At 43.0% G+C, this 21,859-nt stretch overlaps 1 long non-coding RNA gene and 2 pseudogenes across 2 annotated transcripts in view; all 3 read left to right on the top strand.

The window, feature by feature from the left end:
• The first annotated feature begins 2,870 nt into the window (after window positions 1–2,870).
• LOC105374781 (uncharacterized) overlaps window positions 2,871–21,859 on the top strand; it is a 31,293-nt gene continuing 12,304 nt past the window's right edge. The window contains exons 1-3 of one of the 2 annotated variants that reach the window (XR_940191.3): window positions 2,871–2,959; window positions 8,726–8,815; window positions 17,637–17,721. This is a non-coding gene — a long non-coding RNA (uncharacterized LOC105374781). Of the gene's footprint in view, window positions 2,960–8,725; window positions 8,816–17,636; window positions 17,722–21,859 lie in introns of those variants that run through there. The other variant, XR_940192.3, reaches the window with a different exon arrangement.
• On the top strand, window positions 9,638–10,016 carry RPS15AP15 (ribosomal protein S15a pseudogene 15; annotated as a pseudogene).
• Window positions 19,575–21,214, top strand: DNAJB12P1 (DNAJB12 pseudogene 1; annotated as a pseudogene).

The following is a 21,859-nucleotide window of genomic DNA, read 5'->3' as shown; positions in this document are numbered from 1 at the left end:
ATCACCTGAGGTCAGGAGTTCGAGACCAGCCTGACCAACATGGAGAAACTCTGTCTCTACTAAAAATACAAAATTAGCTGGGCGTGGTGATGCATGCCTGTAACCCCAGCTACTCGAGAGGCTGAGGCAGGAGAATCACTTGAACGCGGGAGGCAGAGGTTGCAGTGAGCCAAGATTGCACCATTGCACTCCAGCCTGGGCAACAAGAACAAAACTCGTTCTCAAAAAACAAAGCAAAACAAAACAAAAACAAAAAAACTCTTATAACTCTATAAGAAAAAAAGGGCAAAAAAATGAATACATACTTTATAAAAGATATACAAATGAAAAATAAGCACATGCAAAGATGCTCAACATGATTATTCAATAGAGAAATGCAAATTAAAGCCACAGTGAAACACCACTGTGTATACACACATTGGAATGGTTAGAATTTAAAAGACTGACAATGTCAAACATTGATGAGGATGTGGAGTAAGTGGAATTCTCATACTTTGCTGGTGGGAGTACAAACGCTTTAAAAAATAATATGGCTGGGCAAGGTGGCTCATGCCTGTAATCCCAGCATTTTGGGAGTTTGAGGTGGAAGGATCCCGTGAGCCCAGGAGTTTGAGACCAGCCTGGGCAACATAGTAAGACCCTGTCTCTAAAAAAAAATTTGTTTTAATTAGCTGGGCATGGTCGTGCATACCTGTAGTCCCAGTTACTTGGGAGGCTGAGATGGGAGGATTGCTTGAGCACAAAAGGTCAAGGCTGTAGTGAGCTATGATGGTGCCGGTTCCATCCAGCCTGGGCAACAGAAGAAGATCCTGTCTCAATAAATAAATAAATAAACAAACAAACAAACAAACAAACAAACAATATGGCTCTTTTTTTTTTTTTTTTTTGAGACAGAGTTTCACTCTTGTTACCCAGGCTGGAGTGCAATGGTGCAATCTCGGCTCACTGCAACCTCTGCCTCCCAGGTTCAAGCAATACTCCTGCCTCAACCTCCCAAGTAGCTGGGATTACAGGCACCCACCACCACGCCTGGTTAATTTTTTGTATTTTTAGTAGAGACGGGGTTTCACCATGTTGGCCAGGCTGGTCTTAAACTTCTGACCTCAGCTGGTGAAGTGATAAACAAATTGTGGTACATCCATACAACAGAATACTACTCAGCAATAAAAAGGAATGAACTACTGATATACACTGAAACATGGACAAATCTCAAATGCATTATGCCAAGTGAAAGAAGCCAGACTCAAAAGGCTACAAACTGTATGATTCATTTCTGTGAAATTTTTTCTAAAAGGTAAAACTAGGGTGATGGAACTACATCCGTGGTTGTCAGGGTCCAAGAGGTGGGAGTACGAGATTGACTAAAATTAGGAAAGAAGAAATATTTGGGAGTGATAGACATGTTCTACACCTTGATTGTGATGGTGGTTCACAAATGTCTACATTTGTCAAAGCTCTTCAAATCGTGCACTTGATACTGGTGAGTTTTATGTTATATAAACGGTACCTCAATAAAGCTCACAAAAGTAAAGGAAGAAAAACCTGCCTAACTGTTTTCTGCCCTTTCTGAAGCCCTCCTGTTCTTGCTTGTACATTGTATGCTGTATGGGTATCCTTGTTTGAAGTGTGGTTTTCCCCTAATTGTTCATTGATATGGTTTGGCTCTGTGTCCCCACCCAAATCTCATCTCAAACTGTAACACCCATAACCTCCACATGTCGAGAGAGGAACTTGGTGAGAGGTGATTGGATCATGAGGGCAGTTTCGCCCATGCTGTCCTCATGATAATGAGTGAGTTCTCATGAGATCTGATGGTTTTATAAGGCAGTTTTCCCTGCTCTTGCTCGCTGTCTCTCCCGCCGCCTTGTGAAGAAGGTGCCTGCCTCCTTTCAGCCATGATTATAAGTTTCCCAAGGCCTTTCCAGGCGTGCAGGATTGTGAGTCAATTAAACCTCCTTTGTTTATCAATTACCCAATCTTGGGTAGTATCTTCCAGTTATAAATTACCCAATCTTGGGTAGCCCATCTTCAGTGTGAAAATGGCCTAATAGATTCATCTTTCTAGCTAAGATGCAAATTCTCTGAAGGGAAGGAGTTATTGCAAACAAACTTAAGCCAGTTTCAGTATATGCAATGTTGGTTCTCTTTGGTGGAAACAGTAGTCACTGAAGAAGATGTTGGAGGTGGGTGAGGTTCCAGGTGGGTGAGGTTTATCTGCTTCCCACACCCTCCCTGTCCCATGACATTGATGGGAAATCTCACATCAAATTCTGCCACATATATGAACATTCACTAAAAAAGAACTTATTAGCTAGTAAATGAAAGACAGTTTATAAAGTCTGATCTTTAAGGGCCGTGAAACCCAAGCTCTCTACCCTTTGAAGTGCTTTGGCCACTGTCTTATATGAAAAGTTTATCTGAGACAGATATGACAACAGTCTCATATGACAACATTCTCTTATGACAACATATGAGGGTAACACATATGTTACCCTCATACGTGGCATTGGGCAACCAGACATCCTCCTAACAAGTGGCTAGATGTAGGACCAGTTGGGATCAAGTTTCTGATGCCTTCCCTGAGGGTGCAGGCAGCAGGCCTTCCTAGATTTCTCTAACCTATTTATGTGAGTGGTTCTGAACTATTTTAGCCCCATCCACGCATCTCAAATATCTTCAGTTTCACCCAGTTAAGAGCCCACATTCACTGTGCAGACTACTAGCTACTACTTGAATTAATAAAAACCCTTTCTGACATTCACTATGCTAAGCCAAACATAAGGTACTGATCAAGATATGGATATCATTGGTGCTCACAGCAGCTGCCTTAACTTCCTAATTGGAATGGAGCTGACTATGCCCTGATTGTGTTCTTGGCAAGAGGTGCTGCCCTTGGAGTCAGAGCTTCTACCAAATAGCACAAACTCAATATTTTCTGTCTATGCTGAACTTTGTGAAGGTAAATTATAGATATCTTACTGAGAACATAGCCTCTCTTAAGCTCTTCCCAAAATGTTTGACTTCTAATAGATGCTTAGTATCTATTAAGGAGTATAAGCCAAGCACATTAAGAACAGAGGGGTTTTAAGCAGAAAGAAAGGAGGTAAGGAAAGGATGGAGGGAAGAAGGAAAGAAGGGAAAGAAAGAACAAGTGAGCATTGGCCTAAACTGCTTAAAATTGTTGACTGTGTGAATTTTAGCCCCCAGACCTTCCTTGCCTCTGAAGTTGCAGATACTTGATCCTGGGCTCTGCTTCCGGCCCAGCTTTTTGGAAGGCTTTGGGGACTGGAGGTTTTTTTAAACAGAACCAAATATAAGGAAATAACTCTGTCTGTGAAAAGGCTAAATCACTCTGTGTAAATAAAACTGGGGAATTTCTGGAGTGAAAAATAATTGCCAGAGGCTAATTAACAGCCTAAAATTAGTCCAATTAGACCACAGAAGCAAGGCTCCTCTAGGTCTCTGGGTCTGCCATTTCAAGGAAGCTCCACTCCTTCACCTCCCTGTCACCTTCCAGATCCTTTCTTAAAGAAAACCAGTTCTGGGGTCCTGGAGTTGGAGCCCCTCAGGGCTGAGCTAAAAGGCAGGAAAAAAGAAGTGATGGTGCGAATAGACAGAGCACCAGGCAGTCCCTGGACCCTGAAGACCACCCTGACAACTACCATTCCCGTCATTTCCAGTTTGTCTTTTTTTTTTTTTTTTTTTTTTTTTTTTGAGATGGAGTCTCTCTCTGTTGCCCAGGCTGCAGTGCAGTGGTGAGATCTCAGCTCACTGCAACCTCCGCCTCCTGGGTTCATGCGATTCTCATGCCTCAGCCTCCCGAGTAGCTGGGATTACAGGCACCTGCCACCATGCCTGGCTAATTTTTGTAGTTTTAGTAGAGATGGGGTTTCACCATGTTGGCCAGGCTGATCTCAAACTCCCAACCTCAGGTGATTGTCCCGCCTCAGCCTCCCAAAGTGCTGGGAGTATAGGTGTGAGCCACCGCACCTGGCCAAGTTTGTCTTTTTATGACAAGACAAAAGTTTTGGGATTCAAATCCCAGCCCTGCCATGCTCTAGATCTATAGTCCTGGGAATATCACTTAGCATTTATGAACCCTAGGCCCCTCATCTGTGAAAAAAAAAACAAAAAACAAGCAAACAAACAAAACACAGTGTCTGCCTGTAGTGGCCATCCAATATTTTTCCTTACCCAGTATCCATCCCCCCACCCTTTTTTTTTTTTTTTTTTTTTTTTTTTTTTTTTTTTTGGTTTTTTGGGTTTTTTGAGGTTGTTTTTTTTTTTAAACGGAGTCTCACTCTGTCATCCAGGCTGGAGTGCAGTGGCATGATCTCAGCTCACTGCAACCTCCACCCCTCGGGTTCAAGCAATTCTCCTGCCTCAGCCTCCTGAGTAGCTAGGACTACAGATGCCTGCCACCACGCCTGGCTAATTTTTTTGTATTTTTAGTAGAGACAGGATTTCATCATATTGGTCAGGCTGGTCTCGAACTCCTGACCTCAGGTGATCTACCCGCCTTGGTCTCCCAAAGTGCTGGGATTACAGGTGTGTGCCACCGTGCCCGGCCATCCTTTTACTTATAATAGCACCCTGTTTATATTTGGTGCAACAGCTCCTCACCCACTCTTGGCCTACATGGCTCTGGTGATACAAAATCAACACCATCCCCTAACCCATAGTTAGACAGGTTGTCACATGACCACGATCTGGCCAATTGGTATCTTCTATCCTGGCCCCAGGGTGAAATGTTCAGTTATGAGTCAGACACCCCACTGGGATCACTGAGACTCAGTCCTGAGACTTATCGGCACAAGCTCCTCTCTGTCTTCTAAACTCGAAGCTGAAAATGATGTGGACCCAGTGTTGCTGCGGTCACCACACACAGAGAGGCTGCCTGAGAACGAGGCTGAGATGAGAGAGAAGAGTACCAAATACTGACGGCACACTGGGATAGCGCCAGGGACTGGTCCATGATAGAAGGGAGTAAGTTCCACTTTTTATGTAAGCCAATTTGAGGTGGGTTTTTTATCATCTGAAAACCTTTCATTATGATTTCAGTGGACTCTGAAATCATGACGCCTGAGTTTAAATTGTGGCCCCATGCTTATTAACAGTGGCACTTTGAGTAGATTACTTAATATCTCAATGACTCAGCTTCCTCATCTAATAAATGGATAATAATAGTGCCAACTTCATAAAGCTGTTGTGAGAATTAAATGAGTGAATATGCATAAAGCACTTACAATAATGCCTGGCACATAGAAAATGTAGAAAATGTGTATTGGTGTTAGCTATATATATATATATTTTTTTTTTTTGAGATTGAGTCTTGCTCTGTCATCCAGGCTGGAGTGCAATGGCGCCATCTCGGCTCACTGCAACCTCCACCGACCTCCCAGGTTCAAGCGCTTCTCCTGCCTCAGCCTCCGCAGTAGCTGGGATTACAGGCGCCCACCACCATGCCCAGCTAATTTCTGTATTATCAGTAGAGATGGTTTCACCAGGTTGACCAGGCCGGTCTCGAACTCCTGACCTCAGGTGATCTACCAGCCTCAGCCTCCCAAAGTGCTGGGATTACAGGCATGAGCCACCGCACCCGGCCCGAAGCAGGATTTTAAGCAAGGAGGTGACATCTGACTTTTGTTTCTAAAGATCACTCCAGTTTTTGTGTTGGAAGTAGACTGTGGAGCAAGGGTAGAAACGGGAAGACAAGTCAGGAAGCCCTTGCAGTATCCAGGAGAAAGATAATGCATATCTCAGCATGTTGGCTTTATTCTCTCACACCATCTTTCTCCTGATAAAGGAACTATGTCTGCTGGTGGCTTCTAGGCTCACATCCTCACAGCTTATGACCAGAGGGCAACGGGCTTCTTCTGTTTAATTCAAATTTTGAAAATAAGTAAAGTCCAGTGGAGGGTATGTACCCACTGTGCATTCCACTTGCCATACGCAGCTGGCACTCCTTGAATGCATTTTGGAAAACAAATAAGTAGCACATAAACATGAAGACTTCTACCAGGTTAATTGTGTGAGATGGATTGTAGTGCATCGTTTACAGCCTCTTGCTCATTCTACTTTATGACCAATGGCTATATGTGCAAACTTGACTAGATAAATGTCATAGGGGTGGCCAATGACCATGAGAGAAGCATACAGTCATACCCAGAGAATTGGGTTCCTACTTTTGAATATTTTATCAACATTTTTATCCAAAAGAATAAGGGCAGAATCATCAAGTAAGGCATGGAAGAGGACAGGGAGGACATAGAAAAAATAGGCAGTGTCAAAATCAGACTCTGAAAACCAGCAGCCCAATAACTGAACCTATAGACATGTACTGTTTGGCCAGCACAGTAGTGGCCCACTTGTTGATTTTAATTTTTTAAGTTATTGGCTGATATGTACAAATCAGGGTTTTTCATAGGAACTCAGATTTCTAATTTGTAGTTAAAATGTTGTAGTGTACTCCAGGTATCTGGCAATGCTGAGCCACCTTTTCCCAGTCCCTGATCAGCGGGATTCCCTGGAGAAGGAGCCTCTCACTCCCCACATACATTCTCCTTCTGAAATGTACAGTACCTCCTCAGTCCCCGTAAAAAAAAAAAAAAAAAAAAAAAAAAAAACTTGAACCTCTAATTTTTAAGTGTATTTTCTGAGACACCATACAAAATCCAGAATAGTGTTCTAGAACTAACATGGTAAAAGAAATCTCAAACCACGGGAATGCAAAACTTATGAGTAAGAACAGAGACATTTTCAATTAGGTGCATTTATATCATAGAACAAGTATGAAACAGGCTAATGTGTTAATTTTGGCATGTCTGTCATGAGTGAGACCTTTAGTCATGCCAAATCACAGAGATAAATTTAGAGTCATTCAAAGCCATTAGGATTATTGGCTCCTACATAAGAAGAGCAGGATTAATAAACTCGAGCCTCAGTGGAAACCAGTTCTTTGGCCCATGTCTGTCTTTCTAAGCCATAACTACAAAATGTCTAGGGTGGATACATTAGAAACAGGAACTGGAGTTGACTCAAATTATGAACCAAAAATTCAAAGAGATCACACTCATTTCTGAAACCGAGTGCTGAACTGAAATACAACATTATGTTTTTCTAAATTGTGGACTCATCCAAAAGGATTTCCATGAAAACCAGTAAAATCCTACTGAACTAACATGAACTGAAGCTGAACCAATGTTTTCTAAAATGATTTAACCAGAACATTAGAATATTATCTGAACTAAACCAGTATTTTTTTGTTTGAATATCTTCTGATAAATATCTTTAAAGGCTTACATATTTCTGCTTTGATTATTGTGCATATCAAAACTGCAGGAAACAATATTTCAATCAATAATTAACTCTTAAATTCCAGCAGATACTGCTAGTTGCCTACTAAATACCCATTCCATCCTTTCTTTAACAAAACCCAGATTTATTCAAGGAGACAATGTATCCAACTTCCTTTTCCTAACCTCCCTTGGAACTACATGTGGCCACTTATCTAAGTTTCAAACTATGAGATTTAAGTGGAAGTTGGGTGGAACTTCCAGGAAAACCTTTTGCCATGGAGGCATTCTGCATTCTTCCATCTTGGAATTTAGTTGAGCTGTATGGCTATAGCTTCAGTATCATAAGATAAATTTAAGGATAGAAGCCATACACGAAGAATGGTAAAACAGAACCAGAAGAGATGAGAACATTGTTGACACCCTAAATGTCCACATTTCTTTCACAGATAAATAAATCTTTATTGTATATGAGCTAATGTTTTGGGAATTTTCTGTTATATGTAGCCACACCATATCCTAACTGATAAAGATAGCACATGCTAATATTATAGAAAGCAACTCAGTATGTGTTTTTAATTCAACAAATATTCATTGAATACCTACTATGCACCAAGAATTGCATTAAGGATACTGACATATCTCTTGCTCTCATGGAACACAGAAGAAAGAAAATTTGGCTAGGCAACTAGATGCAGACTCAGCCCAACTATTAACTAATACAGTCTTTGTACTTAGAGAAGTCACCTGACTTTTCTAAGCCTTAGGTGCTTCTTATGTAATATCCTGGGGTTTGACCACATTTTTCTAAGGTCACTTCCAGCTCTCTCATTCCATGATTCAGTTGGTTTTCATAGAAAGTCTGTCATTTCCTTGCTACCCATAGAGACTTACCCACCCTCAGTCCCCAAAGGCCAGTGAATATCCACATCCCTGCATAATGGAGCAGGAAAGCGCGAAAGAGAAACAGAGATGCAAATCCTGAGCTGTCATCCCATCCTTACGTGGATTTTCATTTGGCCTTCGACATTCTTTTAAATTTAGATGAGTTCTCAAGATTTTTAAAAGAGGTAATTTTGGGCTGGGCGTGGTGGCTCAGGCCTGTAATCCCAGCACTTTGGAAGGCTGAGGCGGGTGGATCATGAGGTCAGAAGACCAAGACCATCCTGGCCAACATGGTGAAACCCTGTCTCTACTAAAAATAAAAAAATTAGCTGGGCGTGGTGGCGCGTACCTGTATGCCAGCTACTCAGGAGGCTGAGGCAAGAGAATAGCTTGAACCAGGGAGTCAGAAGTTGTGGTGAGCCGAGATGGCGCCACTGCACTCTAGCCTGGCGACAGAGCAAGACTCCATCTCAAAAAAAATAAACAAATAAAAAAAGAAAGAAAGAAAAAAAGAGGCAATTTTACATAAAGTTATGCGTTTCCAGCTTCTCTGAAACTTTCCTGGAAGATCCGGCAACACCAGGCCTTCTTTCTTGCATGGTCACAGGAGATGAGAGCAGAGTTGTCTAAACAAGGTGAGTTATGTTTGTCCCCACCCCTTCCAGTTATCTTGCACCCATGTTTTCATTCATTTTCTCTCCCTAGAGAGCCCTTGTTGGTATATTAGTTTGAGGCCCTGTTCCAGACAAATGTGGCCTCATGAGAAAATGACAAGTGAGCCATGATTGTCTAATTTCAGGGTCCCCTGTGTAGTGTCAGCTCTGCTTTAATAACTTTGCTAGAATATTTATTAGATTCCACAACCAGCAGTGAGAAAAGCCAAGAAACAAAACAACTGACATCTAAAAACACCGAAAAGGTCCGGGAATAGTCAGTACCAGCTACTTCTGGAAGTGGAAGGTTAAGGTAGGGCTAGCAAAGGAATATTGACTGAAAACTCAATTAAAAAGCAGTTCAAAGAGACTTTCACTTTGGCTAAGATGGAATAGCAGAGACCAGATTTACTCTTCTTCCACCAAATGCAACTTATAAAATAGACAAATATATGAAACAGTTGTTCTGAAGACATTGGGTATAAGGCAATGAAGTATACCAATTCCTGAGAGACAGGAAATAAACAAAATGAGCTCTTTGAGTGCCCCGGCCTACTGGCTTGAGAAAGTTTCCAGGTCCACCCAAGATTGGCAGAATATACATTTTTTTTTTGGTACACAAAAAAACATTTACCAAAATCGTCCAATTCTGGGCCATAAAACGAATTTCAATAATTTAAAAGGGTTCGAGTTATACAAAGTATGCTCTGTGACCAAAATGAAATCAATAAGAAAAATATATCTCAATAATTCTGTGCGCTCTCCCCTCCTGTCCTCTTGCCTTTATCTTTCTGCACCGCCACAATGGTGCACATGAATGTCCTGGCTGATGCTCTCAAGAGCATCGACAATGCTGAAAAGAGAGGCCATGAACTCAGGTTCTTATTAGGCTGTGCTCTGAAGTCATCGTCCAGTTTTTCACTATGATGATGAAGCATGGTTACACTGGCAAAACTGAAATCATTGATGATCAAAGAGCTGCCCCACAGGCAGGCTAAACAAGTGTGGCGTGATCAGCCCCAGATTTGATGTGCAACTCAAAGATCTAGAAAAATGGCAGAGTAATCTTCTTCCATCCCACCAGTTTGGTTTTATTGTACTGACAACCTCAGCTAGCATCATAGACCATGAAGAGGCAAGACAAAAACACACAGGAGGGAAAATCCTGGCATTCTTTTTCTAGATGTGTAATACAGATTTACAAATAAAATGCCTCCTGGACAAAAAAAAAAAAAAAATTTCAAAAAAACCAAATGTTTGAAAACTAAATAACTCACTTCTTAATCCATAGGTCGAAGAAGAAATCAAAGATAAATTAGCATTGTGAACTGATGCAAAAGAAAACACAACACATCAAAATGGGTGGGATGCAGGGAATGCAGAACTTAGAGGGAAATCCATAGCACTCAACTAAAGTAGGAGGAAAAAAGTGCTCAAGTCAACAACCTCAGCTTCCTTCTTTCTTAAGAAACTACATAAAGAAGAGAAAGTGAAACTCGGAGTAAGCAGAAGAAAAAAATAATAATACCAAAATTTTAAAGAAGTCATACTAATTCTACATGAACTCTTCCAGAAAGCTAAAGAAGAGGGATGGAATCCTATGAGATCAGCATTCTATAAATCAAACCAAAGACATTGCAAGAAAAGAAAACTTATGAACATAGATGCAAATTTCTTAAAACAAAATTTTAGCAAATTGATTTCAATTATATACAAAAAGAATAATATATTTTAACCAAGAAGGCTTTATCCCAGAATTGCCAGATTAGTTTAACACTTGAAAACTTTCAGGGTGGGGCACAGTGGCTCACGCCTGTAATCCCAGCACTTTGGGAGGCCAAGGCAGGCAGATCACCACCCGCCTGACCTACAAGGTGAAACCCCGTCTCTGCTAAAAATACAAAAAAATTAGCTGGGCGTGGTGGCATGCCTGTAGTTCCAGCTACTCGGGAGGCTGAGGCAAGAGAATCACTTGAACCTAGGAGGTAAGGTTGCAGTGAGCCGAGATTGCGCCACTGCCCTCCAGCCTGGGGGACAGAGACACGCTCCGTCTCAAAAAAAAAAAAAAAAGAAAGAAAGAAAGAAAGAAAGAAAAAGAAAAGAAAAGAAAGAAAAATCTCGGCTGCACATGGTGGCTCATGCCTGTAATCCCAGCACTTTGGGAGGCCGAGGTGGAAGGATTGCTGGAGCTCAGGAGTTCAAGACCAACCTAGGCACCATGGTGAAGCCCCATCTCTATAAAAATAAAAATAAAAATAAAAAAATAAAAAAAATTAGCCAGGTATGGTGGCACATGCCCATAGTCCCAGCTACTTGGGGTGGGGTTAGGGGTGGAGGGAGGTTGCTGAAACAGGAAGATCACTTGAGCCCAGGAGGTTGAGGCTGCAGTGAGCCGTGTTCGCTGCATCACTGCTCCAGCCAGAGTGACAAAGTGAGACCCTGTCTCCCAGAAAAAAAAAGCATTTGAAAATCAATCAATTTAATTCATTATATTAACAAATTAAAGGTCAGGTGTGGTGGCTTACACCTGTAATCCCAGCAGTGTGGAAGGATCACTTGAGGTCAGGAGTTCGAGACCAGGCTGGCCAACATGGTGAAACTCCATCTCTACTAAAAATACAAAAAAATTAGCCGAGTGTGGTGGCAGGTGCCTGTAAACCCAGCTACTCGGGAGGCTGGGGCAGGAGAATCTCTTGAACCCCGGAAGTGGAGGTTACAGTGAACCAAGATCACGCCACTGCACTCCAGCCTGGGTGACACAGCGAGACTCCATCTCGAACAAATGGAAAAACAAACGAACAAAAATTTAAAAAGAAAAAACATGTGACCAGCTCAATACATACAAAATAGAGCATTTAACAAAATCTAACCTCCATTCCTGATGAAAATTTTCAACAAACTAGGAACAGATGGGAACTTCTACAACCTGATAATGGATAACTGAAAACCCTACAGCTAGCATCATACTTAACGGTGAAAGACTGATTGCTTTCCCCAACATCAGAACAAGGAAAGAATGTCTGCTGTTACCACTTATATCCAACACTGAACTTGGTAAGATGTAAATTTTCCCCAATTTGATCTATAGCTATAATAAATCCAAGTCAAAATCCCAGCAGGCTTTTTATATTACACATTAAATCATACATATATGTATACATTAACATTTACATTTTACATTATATTATTCATTTTTACATTAACAATGTGGTTTTTAAAATTGACAAGCTGATCATATAAGTCATTTAGGGAAAGGCACGATGGCTCACGCCTATAATCCCAGCACTTTGGGAGGCCGAGGTGGGCAGATCACTTGAGATCAGGAGTTCAAGACCAGCCTGGCCAAGATGGCGAAACCCCATCTCCACCAAAAATACAAAAATTAGCTGGGCGTGGTGGCGCATGCCTGTAGTCCCAGCTACTTGGGAGGCTGAGGCAGGAGAATGGCTTGAACCCGGGAGGTAGAGGATGCAGTGAGCTGAGACCGTGCCATTGCACTCCAGCCGGCATGACAGAACGAGACTCTGTCTCAAAAATAAAAAATAAAAACATAATTCATTTAGAAATGCAAAAGACTTGGAATAACCAATTCAACTTTGAAAAAGAAGAATAAATATGGAGAATTTACCCTATGTAACTTTAAGACTTAATATAAGCTACAATAATCAAGATGGTGTGGTATTGAATTCAAAATAGACAAATAGAAAAATAGGAGACTAAGAAATAGTAACTTGCGTAAGTGCAAAGGCAATTTGATGGGGAAAATGGTCTTTTTTGACAAATAGTGTTGAAATAATTGGATATCCATATACAAAAAGGAAAAAAAAACCCAGAACTTTGACCCATCTCACGCTATACAGAAAAAATTAACTGAAAATGGTTCAGGAACATGGCACTCCCCTGTAGTCCCAGCTACTCCAAAGGCTGAGATGGAAGGATCACTTCAGCCCTGGCTTCAAGGCTGCAGTGAGCTGTGATCATACCACTGAATTCCAGCCTGGACATCAGAGTGAGATTCTGTCTCGTTGTGTTTTGTTGTTGTTGTTGTTGTTGTTGTTGTTTTTTGGCGGGGTGAGTCTCGCTCTATCGCCCAGGCTGGAGTGCCGTGGTGTGATCTCAGCTCACTGCAACCTCCGCCTCCCAGGTTCAAGCAATTCTCCTGCCTCAGCCTCCTGAGTAGCTGGGACTACAGGCACATGCTGCCACGCTCGGCTAATTTTTTTATATTTTAGTAGAGACTGGGTTTCACCATGTTGCCCAGGCTGGTCACAAACTCCTGAGCTCAGGCAATCCACCCACCTTGGCCTCCCAAACTGGCAGGATTACAGGCGTCAGCCACCATGCCTGGCCAAGACTCTGTCTCTTAAAAAAAAATTAATTAAAAATAATTTACTCAAAATGGATCACAGACCTAAACCTAAAACTATTAACATCTAGGGAAAAAAAAAAAAAAAAAACAAGAGAAACTCTTTGTGACCTTGGGTTAAGCAAATATTTCTTAGAAACAGCACCAAAAGCAAAATCAATAAAAGAAAATCAATACATTGGACTTCATCAAAATTAAGAACACTTATGGAAGATTCTAAAATCTCTTATGGAGAAAAAAGAAATAAAACTGAGAACATTTGCTCTTTGAAAGATATTGTTAGGAGAATGAAAAGGCAAGCTGCAGACTAGGAGCAAATATATGCAAGTTACACATTTGATAACAGATTTGTATCCAAAATATGTAAAGAAATCTCAAAACTCAATAAGAAAACAAAACAACCAAATTTTATAAATGGGCAAGAGATTTGAACAATTTACCAAAGAGGATATACAGATGGCAAATAAGCACACGCAAAGATGCTCAACATCATTAGTCATTAGGAAATGCAAATTAAAACCGTGAGATACCACTACATACTCACTAGAATATCTAAAATTTAAATGGTTGACCAAATCACTTGTTGGCAAGGATGTTGAGCCACCTAGAACTTTCTGGTTCACTGCTGGTGGAAATATGAAATGGTACAACCACTTTGGAAAACAGTGTGGCAGTTTCACTAAAGGTTAAACATGTTGTTCAAAGTTCAACTAAAAAAAAAAAAGTGAAACATGCACCTGCCATATGGCTCAGCCATTCCATTCCTAGGTGTTAACCCAAGAAAAATGAAAAACCATGTCCACACAAAGACCTGCACATGAATGTTCATAGCAGTATTATTTGTAATAACTAAAAACTGGAAACAATCCATATGTCCATCAACAAGTAAATGAATAAACAAATTTTGGTGTATTAATCCAATGAGATACTACTTAACAATAAAAAGGAATAATCTATTGATATACTCAACGACCTGAATGAATCTCAGAGTAATGATGCTGAGTGAAAAAAAAGCAGAATCCTTCCCCCCTAAAAAGAGCAAGTACTATATGATTACTTTTACATAAAATCTTAGAAAATACAAACCAATCTAGTGGCAGAAAGCAGATCAGCAGTTGCCTGAGTGGGCAACGGAAACTTAAGGGGCAACTAATATGCTCATTATCTTATTTTTACTTTTTTGGGGGGGAGGGGGACAGGGTCTCACTCTGTCACTCAGGCTGGAGGGCTGTGGTGTGATCATAGCTCACTGACCGCAGCCTCGACCTCCCGGGCTCAAGCGATCCTCCCACTCAGTCATCTGAGTAGCTGAGACTACAGGCATGCACCACCACGCCCGGCTAATTTTCAAATTTTTTGTAGAGATGGGAGTCTCACTTTGTTGCCCAGGCTGGTCTCAAACTCCTAGGTTCAAGTCATCCTCCTGCCTTGGACTCCCAAAATGCTGGGATTACAGGCGTGAGCCACCATGCCCAGGTGCTCATTATCTTGACTGTTGATAATTTCATGGGTGTATACACATGTCAAAACTTATCAAATTGTACATTTTAAATAAGTGATATTTATTTTATGTCAATTATATCTCAATAAAGCTGTTTTTTTAAAAAAAATAACAATTTGATCCTTAGCTTCCTTCCCCAATTCTGTGCAACTGGGCAACTGACCTCCCACAATCCTGCCACTAGACTTAAGGTTTATTCTCTGGAGGAAGTTAATGGAGCTTCTAAGGACTGACTGAAGGACAGCGGGCACCACTGATGGCAAGGAATTACAACAAAAAAAGGAAAGTCCACAGAAGGAATGCTGAGACTCACTGCTCTTTGGCCCCACCTGGGTCCCAGGACCCTGGCAGCCCGGTCTATCTCCTTGGGCAGAAGACTGGAAGACTTACTGGCCCAAGAAGAAATGATCAAACATCCTGACATTGGAGGGTAGCATAGCCAGATAACCCAATGGGGAAGATAGCAGTCAACAGGCTCCACTCACAAGATCAGAGCTGCTATTTGGCTTTTTAATACCCCACTCTTAAATATAAGCAGACAGCTAAAATTAGAATTTCACTGTTCTGAGAAAATGAAAGGTCAAGAAAGGCTTGTACTGGGGGCTAGAGAGCATTGTCAGAAAGATAAATTATATTCTTTAGAAAGAAGTCCTTTTAAAATGCCAAAAACAGAAAAACCATGAAGTAGCAATTTAAGCATATTAGGATGTGTGAGGATAAATATTACAAGAACCAACTGAAAGAATTGAAAGTGGTTGCCTCTTAGGAAAGGAAAATAGGGAGGAATGAGGAAATTACCGCAGCAACAAGTTTAGGAGAATTATGTGCCTCTTTAAATTATGTGCCCATGGGCCAAGCACGGTGGCTCATGCTTGTAATCCTAGCACTTTGGGAGGCCAAGGTAGGAGGATCACTTGAGGCCAGGAATTCCAGACCAGCCTGGGTAACATAGCAAGACGCTGTTTCTACAAAAGAAAAAAAAATTATCCAGACATGTGGCACACATCTATAGTCCTAGCTATTTGGGAAGCTGAGGTGGGAGGATCACTTGAAGTAAGGAGTTTGATGATACAGTGAGCTATGATCAAGCACTGCACTCCAACCTGGGTAACAGAGTGAGACCTTGTCTCTTAAAAATATATGAATTTAAAAATAAAAAAATTATGTGCCCATGTAACTTTGATTAAAACTGGTAAAAAAGTGAAAGAAAATTCATTAGAGATGAATAAAGCTCTTGAAAAATCAATGGATAATCACATGTCTCTGTTTGCCAGAAACATTCCCAGTTTTCATCTATTAATAGCACTCCCTTTTACTCTCAAAACATGCCCATTTGGCTAATTTTATGATGTGTGAGGTTGACCCCTCCTGAATCCACTGACCAACCGAAACATCACCTTAACATCAGACACAGTGTTCTGATATGATGCAGCAGGAAGTACACGGCTCCACCTATGAAATATCCTTGCCAAAAGCAAAACTTGAATTTCAAGTCTCCCAGTCAGGGTTTCTCAACCTCAGCTCTACTGACATTGGGGGACACGTGGTTCTTTCCTGTGGGCAGCTGTCCTGTGCACTGCAGGATGTTTAGCGGCATCCCCGGCCTCTACCCACCAGATGCCTGAAGCACCCCCACCCCCAGGTGTGACAACCAAAAGTCTCCAGACATTGCCAAACGTCCCCTGGGAGGTGAGGGAAGCAAAGTCTCCCCCAGCTGAGAATCACTGTTGTCTACATCTTCAGTACCAATGTACAGGAAACAGGATGGAAAAATAGGTTGAAGGACACCAGCAGAATACAACCAGCCACATTCAGAACGTGGGAAGTTCTGAAGGACAGATGACCCAACTATATCAACAAACAAATGGCATGGGGAAGGTATAGGGGAGGGACCATGACAGTATAAACCCCTTAAAATATGTCAACAAATGCAATGTGTGGACCTTGTTTGGATCCTCATTTAAACAAACTGCAAAAAGACATTTTTGACACAACCGGAGAAAACTGTGTTCGAAGGTATTATGACACTAAGAAATAATGCTAATTTTGTGGATGTGATAATGGTAACTATGGTTACACTATTTTTTAAAGCTTTCTGTTAGAGACACATATTGCTGTACTTGTGGATAAAGTGTTACGACGTCTATCTGGTTGCAGTGAGGGAAAATGGGGACTAGATAAGATAACATCGAATCGGCGACCAGTATTGACATTGAGTGATGGGTACACAGATGTTCATTATACTCTTCTCTCAACTTTTTGTGTATGTTTGAAAGTTTTTGTAATAAAAACTGAAACGTAATAAATCAAATCCATGAAATTAACAAAGCATGGCTCAATGGGAAGCTTCCAGAGTTTGGGGCTGTATCCCTAGCTCCTAATAGTTCTGTTCATTTTAAGCAGGGAAGTCACTTCTCTGGCCTACAGAAAAAGGGATCTTGAATTAAGAGATGTTCATAGTTTCTTCCAGGTGAGATTTTTAATGACTCTGTGACATTTCTTGAATAAGTGAGCTGGGTAACAGCCCTGAGGACCCAGCAGTCTCAAAAGCTTGACTTTGTGGTGGAGATGCTGGTGGACTTGCTGGTGGTGGGTACTGGCCCAGGGCTCCCAGGTTAAGCAATGTGCCCCCTCCTCGGCCCCTTCACTAGTTTAGAAGTAGCAAGATCAACTGCCTCGGAACATTCTGAATTAGAAAGCGTCTGCTGAATAAGGCTTGCGTCAAACTTCTCTTTAAGCGGCTGTGGCTGCAGTTTGAGTAACTTGTCAGGAAAGTGTGAACTACAAGTCAGTATTACAAAAGTGTTTATTTTCAGCCTTTCCAAAAAACAGTGAGAAAGAGGAAAGCATGCATAATAAAGCAGCCGGGCATCTGAGGCAAAAGTTGGCTTTTCCTTAATCCTCTCCTCCCATCCTCCTACCCTTTTTGACTACAGGTACCCCTTTTCTGTGAACTTGAATGCAGCCTCCCACAGGTTTGGACAAAAGAATGGCAGGAAGAGGACAGGTGGAACAGGATGGAGGAAAGAGGTAGCCCTCATAGGTACGGGTGCAGAGCTCAGAGTGGCAAAGGAACAGCAGAAGTCTTGTTCTCCCATGCCCCTGCCAAGTCCTGCTGCAACAAAATGATGAGCTTGGAACCGACTGCCAACTGCCACAAAGGGAACCCTTATTACAGAGAGCTCCCTGAAACACCCGTGGAAACAGCATGCAAAAGATCTCTGCTCATGCTTTGAAGAATGCAGAAAACTTTCCTTGCCACCGTATGTGGAGCATCGCCCACAGAGAAGGGAAGGGGAAAACTCACACCCATCTCCTCCCCTCCACCCCAATCCTGGGCCCCAACTAAAACCTCAGCTTCTTTCCCTCAACCTATCACAAGGGCCTCCCACCAGTCTTCCATCAGTGAGGGTGGGCTTTTGCAAATGCAAGCCTGCCCGAGCTACTTACTCTACTCTTTAAGATATTTTCACAAGCCCTTATAGCTGGGGGGAATAAAATCCAGTGTACAGAAGTTCTAGTAGAGGCAGTGAATACTAGTGATTTAAAAGCATCCTCAGAAATCACAGGCAATGCAAGAACCCCTGGATAAACATAAAATGAGTTTCTCTATAATACTCAGATGCCAGGCCTAGGGCCAGAGCCAAAGGAATCCCACCTAGACTCTGGGGCCCTTGGTTTTGGGCCTGTTCCCCAGCTTCTTCTATGCTGCAGCTCTTCCATCTCCTCAGAAGAGAAGTGGTGGGGGTGAGGGGTGTCAGTTACCAAACGGCAAGTCCCTCCCTGAAGAAAGTGCTGTGGAAAGGGCAGCCCCAAACAGTGGGTTCCCCAGCCTGAGGGAGTAAAAAGGATGGAGCAGCCCCAGGAAGGCTAAAGTGTGCATTCCAAAAGTCTTGAACACCTAAGTTGTCAATCAAAGCAGTTCAGCTGGCAGCCGAGAGACCAGCAGCAGAGGCAAACAAGAGTCCTGAAGGGTAGAGAGAGTCAGAGTCAGCAGAAGGAGGATCAGGTCAACTCTGAAGATGAAGTACAAATGCCTAAGGCGTTTTGCCCTCCTTTGAAAAATGTGTAATTACACAAGTAATGCATGAATAAATTATACTGAGAAAATATATCACTTCAGGCCAACATGCAGAAACCCCACCTCTACTAAAAAAAAATACAAAATTAGCCAGGCATGGCGGCGCATCCCTGTAATCCCAGCTACTCGGGAGGCTGAGGCAGGAGAATTGCTTGAACTGGGGAGGCAGAGGTTGTGGTGAGCTGAGATCATGCCATTGCACTCCAGCCTGGGCAACAAGAGCAAAACTCCATCTCAAAAAAACAACAACAACAATAAAAAATTAAGATGCTAGGCTAATGTCTCTACATTTCTCCATTTCTGCTCGCCTTTTTTTTTGAGATGGAGTCTTGCTCTGTCGCCCAGGCTGGAGTGTAGTGGCGCGATCTCGGCTCACCACAACCTCTGCCTCCCGGGTTCAAGGGATTCTTCTGCCTCAGCCTCCCGAGTAGCTGGGACTACAGGTGCATGCTGCCACACCCAGCTAATTTTTTCATTTTTAGTAGAGACAGAGTTTCACCATATTTGTCAGGCTAGTCTTGAACTCCTGACCTCGTGATCTGCCCACCTCGGCCTCAGCCTCCCAAAGTCCTGGGATTCCAGGTGTGAGCCACCGTGCCCGGCCTCTCCTGGCCTTTTCCCCTGGGTCACAAGATGGTTGCCGTAACTCCAAGCATCACATTTCCAACAACTCCATCCCAAGGCAAAAAGGAAAGGGAGAAGCAGAACTTTTCACCTTCATCTACTTACTTCATCTACTATACTCTGTTATTAGAACAACAACAACAAAAACACTTCTTAAAAGTCAACAGCAGGTTCCATGCTCTGGTTCTGCCATGTAATCCAATAAGGATGAAGCCGAGCTCTGTATCAGCATCACCCTCAAGCCATCCAGTGCAACCAGCCCAACCAGGCGCTCCTCATCCTGGAGAAGGCACAGTGGCTGTACCCAATGCCGCGAGTGTGTGGCCTGATGGAGTCTCTCAACTAGGAACCACAAACTGCTGGTGACCAACCCCAACCCACAGACACAACCCATGCCACCCACAGGAAAGCAGGTGGGACCGATGCTCCCTAGGCCAACGGTGAAGCTGGAGGAGGAGAGAGCACCAAAGGCTACACTGCAGAAGGAGTTGCAGCTGTGAAAAGGGTCAAGCAATGTAAGGATTATTATGAGATCCTGGAGGTGAGGAGAGGGGCCTCAGATGAGGACCTGAAGAAGGCCTACCACAAACTGGCCCTCAAATTCCACCCAGACAAGAACCATGCACCTGGCACCACTGGAGCTTTCAAAGCCATTGGCACAGCATATGCAGTACTCAGCAACCCGGAGAAGAGGAAGCAGTGTGGCCCGGCACGGTGGCTTATGCCTATAATCCCAGCACTTTAGGAGGCCAAGGTGGGCGGATCATGAGGTCAAGAGTTCAAGACCAGCTGGTTTGAGACCAGCCTAGCCAACATGGTAAAACTCTGTCTGTACTAAAAATACAAAAATTAGCCGGCAGTGGCGGTGCATGTCTGTAAACCCAGCTACTCGGGAGGCCGAGGCAGGGGAATTGCTTGAACCAGGGAAGCAGAGGTTGCAGTGTACTAAGACCAAGCCACTGCACTTCAGCCTAGGCGACAGAGCAAGACTCTGTCTCAGGAAAAAAAAAAAAAAAAGAAAGAAAGAAAGAAAGAAAGAAAAGAGGAAGCAGTATGACCACTTGGGCGATAACAGGAGTCAGGCAGTCAGGTCCAGCATCGTCATGGGGATTTCCACCACGGCTTTGAGGCTGACATCTCCCCTGAAGACCTCTTCAACATGTTCTTTGGCAATGGCTTCCCTTCTAGTAAAGTCTACGTCTACAGCAATGGCTGCATGCGCTATACCTACCAGCAAAGGCAGGGCTGCAGGGAGAAGCGGAGTGACGGCAGCTTGCGGGTGTTCGTGCAGCTGATACCCATCCTCATCCTCATGTCAGCTCTCAGCCAGCTCATGGTCTCCAGTCCACCCTACAGTCTGAGCCCAAGACTGTTTGTGGGCCACATCACAGGCGAGTCACTGACCACCTGAGTGTCATCTACTATGTGGCAGGCATTTTCTCCGAGGAGTACACAGGCTCCAGCCTCCAAACAGTCAAACCGAATGTGAAAGATGATTATATCGCCAACCTCTGGAACAACTGCTGGACGGAGAAGCAGCAGATGAAAGGCTTGCTGTACCGAGGCCGCTACTTTGGTGACACAGATATGTACCACAAAGCACAGAAGATGGGCAGCCCCCTGCTGCAGCCAGCTGTCACAGGATCAGGCCTCCCTGCATGGATAATCCAGGGCCAGCCATGCCACCAAGGTCCAAACTATGAAATTCCTGGAGAATTTTTGGTGACATGCACTAAGCCAAGGCGATGGACTATATATTTAAGGAAAGACATACAAAGAAACAAAATTAAAATGGAATTGGAAGCCAAAAAAAAAAAAGTCAACAGCAGACTAGGTCACATGCCTACCCCTAGACAAATCACAGGCAAAGGGGAGTGGTATAAGCATACTTGGCTTAGCTCAATCGTGATTTGACACCTGGACCTACCTTCCCTGAGCACAATGCTGCCCTTTGATACCTGAATAAGATTTGAGTTGTTAGCATTAAAGAAGGGGGTGAGTGGGAAATGGCTGTTATTAAGCAGCCAGTACTATCTACCACAACTGAAGTCCCCTTTGACCACCCCCCAAATCTTGAACTGCCTCCCACCTCTCCAGAGCAAACCACTCTTACCAGTTTGATGTATGTTATTCCAAACTTTGCATATGGACATATACATATAACAAAATACCATAAAAGACATGGGGCATTTAATAGACTTTTTTTTTTTTTTGAGGCAAAGTTTCGTTCTTGCCGCCACAGCTGGAATGCAATGGCGTGATCTCGGGTCACTGCAACCTCCACCTCCCAGGTTCAAGCGATCCTCCTGCCTCAGCCTCCCAGAGTAGCTGAGATTACAGGCACACGCCATCATGCCCGGCTAATTTTTGTATTTTTAGTAGAGATGGGGTTTCACCATGTTGGCCAGGCTGGTCCGGAACTCCTGACCTCAGGTGATCTGCCTGCCTCGGCCT

This window comes from Homo sapiens, chromosome 2, assembly GCF_000001405.40.
Source record: "Homo sapiens chromosome 2, GRCh38.p14 Primary Assembly".
In the NCBI taxonomy this organism is placed as follows: domain Eukaryota; kingdom Metazoa; phylum Chordata; class Mammalia; order Primates; family Hominidae; genus Homo; species Homo sapiens.
The sequence above is the reverse complement of the archived record's forward strand: the minus strand, read 5'-3'. Positions and strand labels throughout refer to the sequence as shown.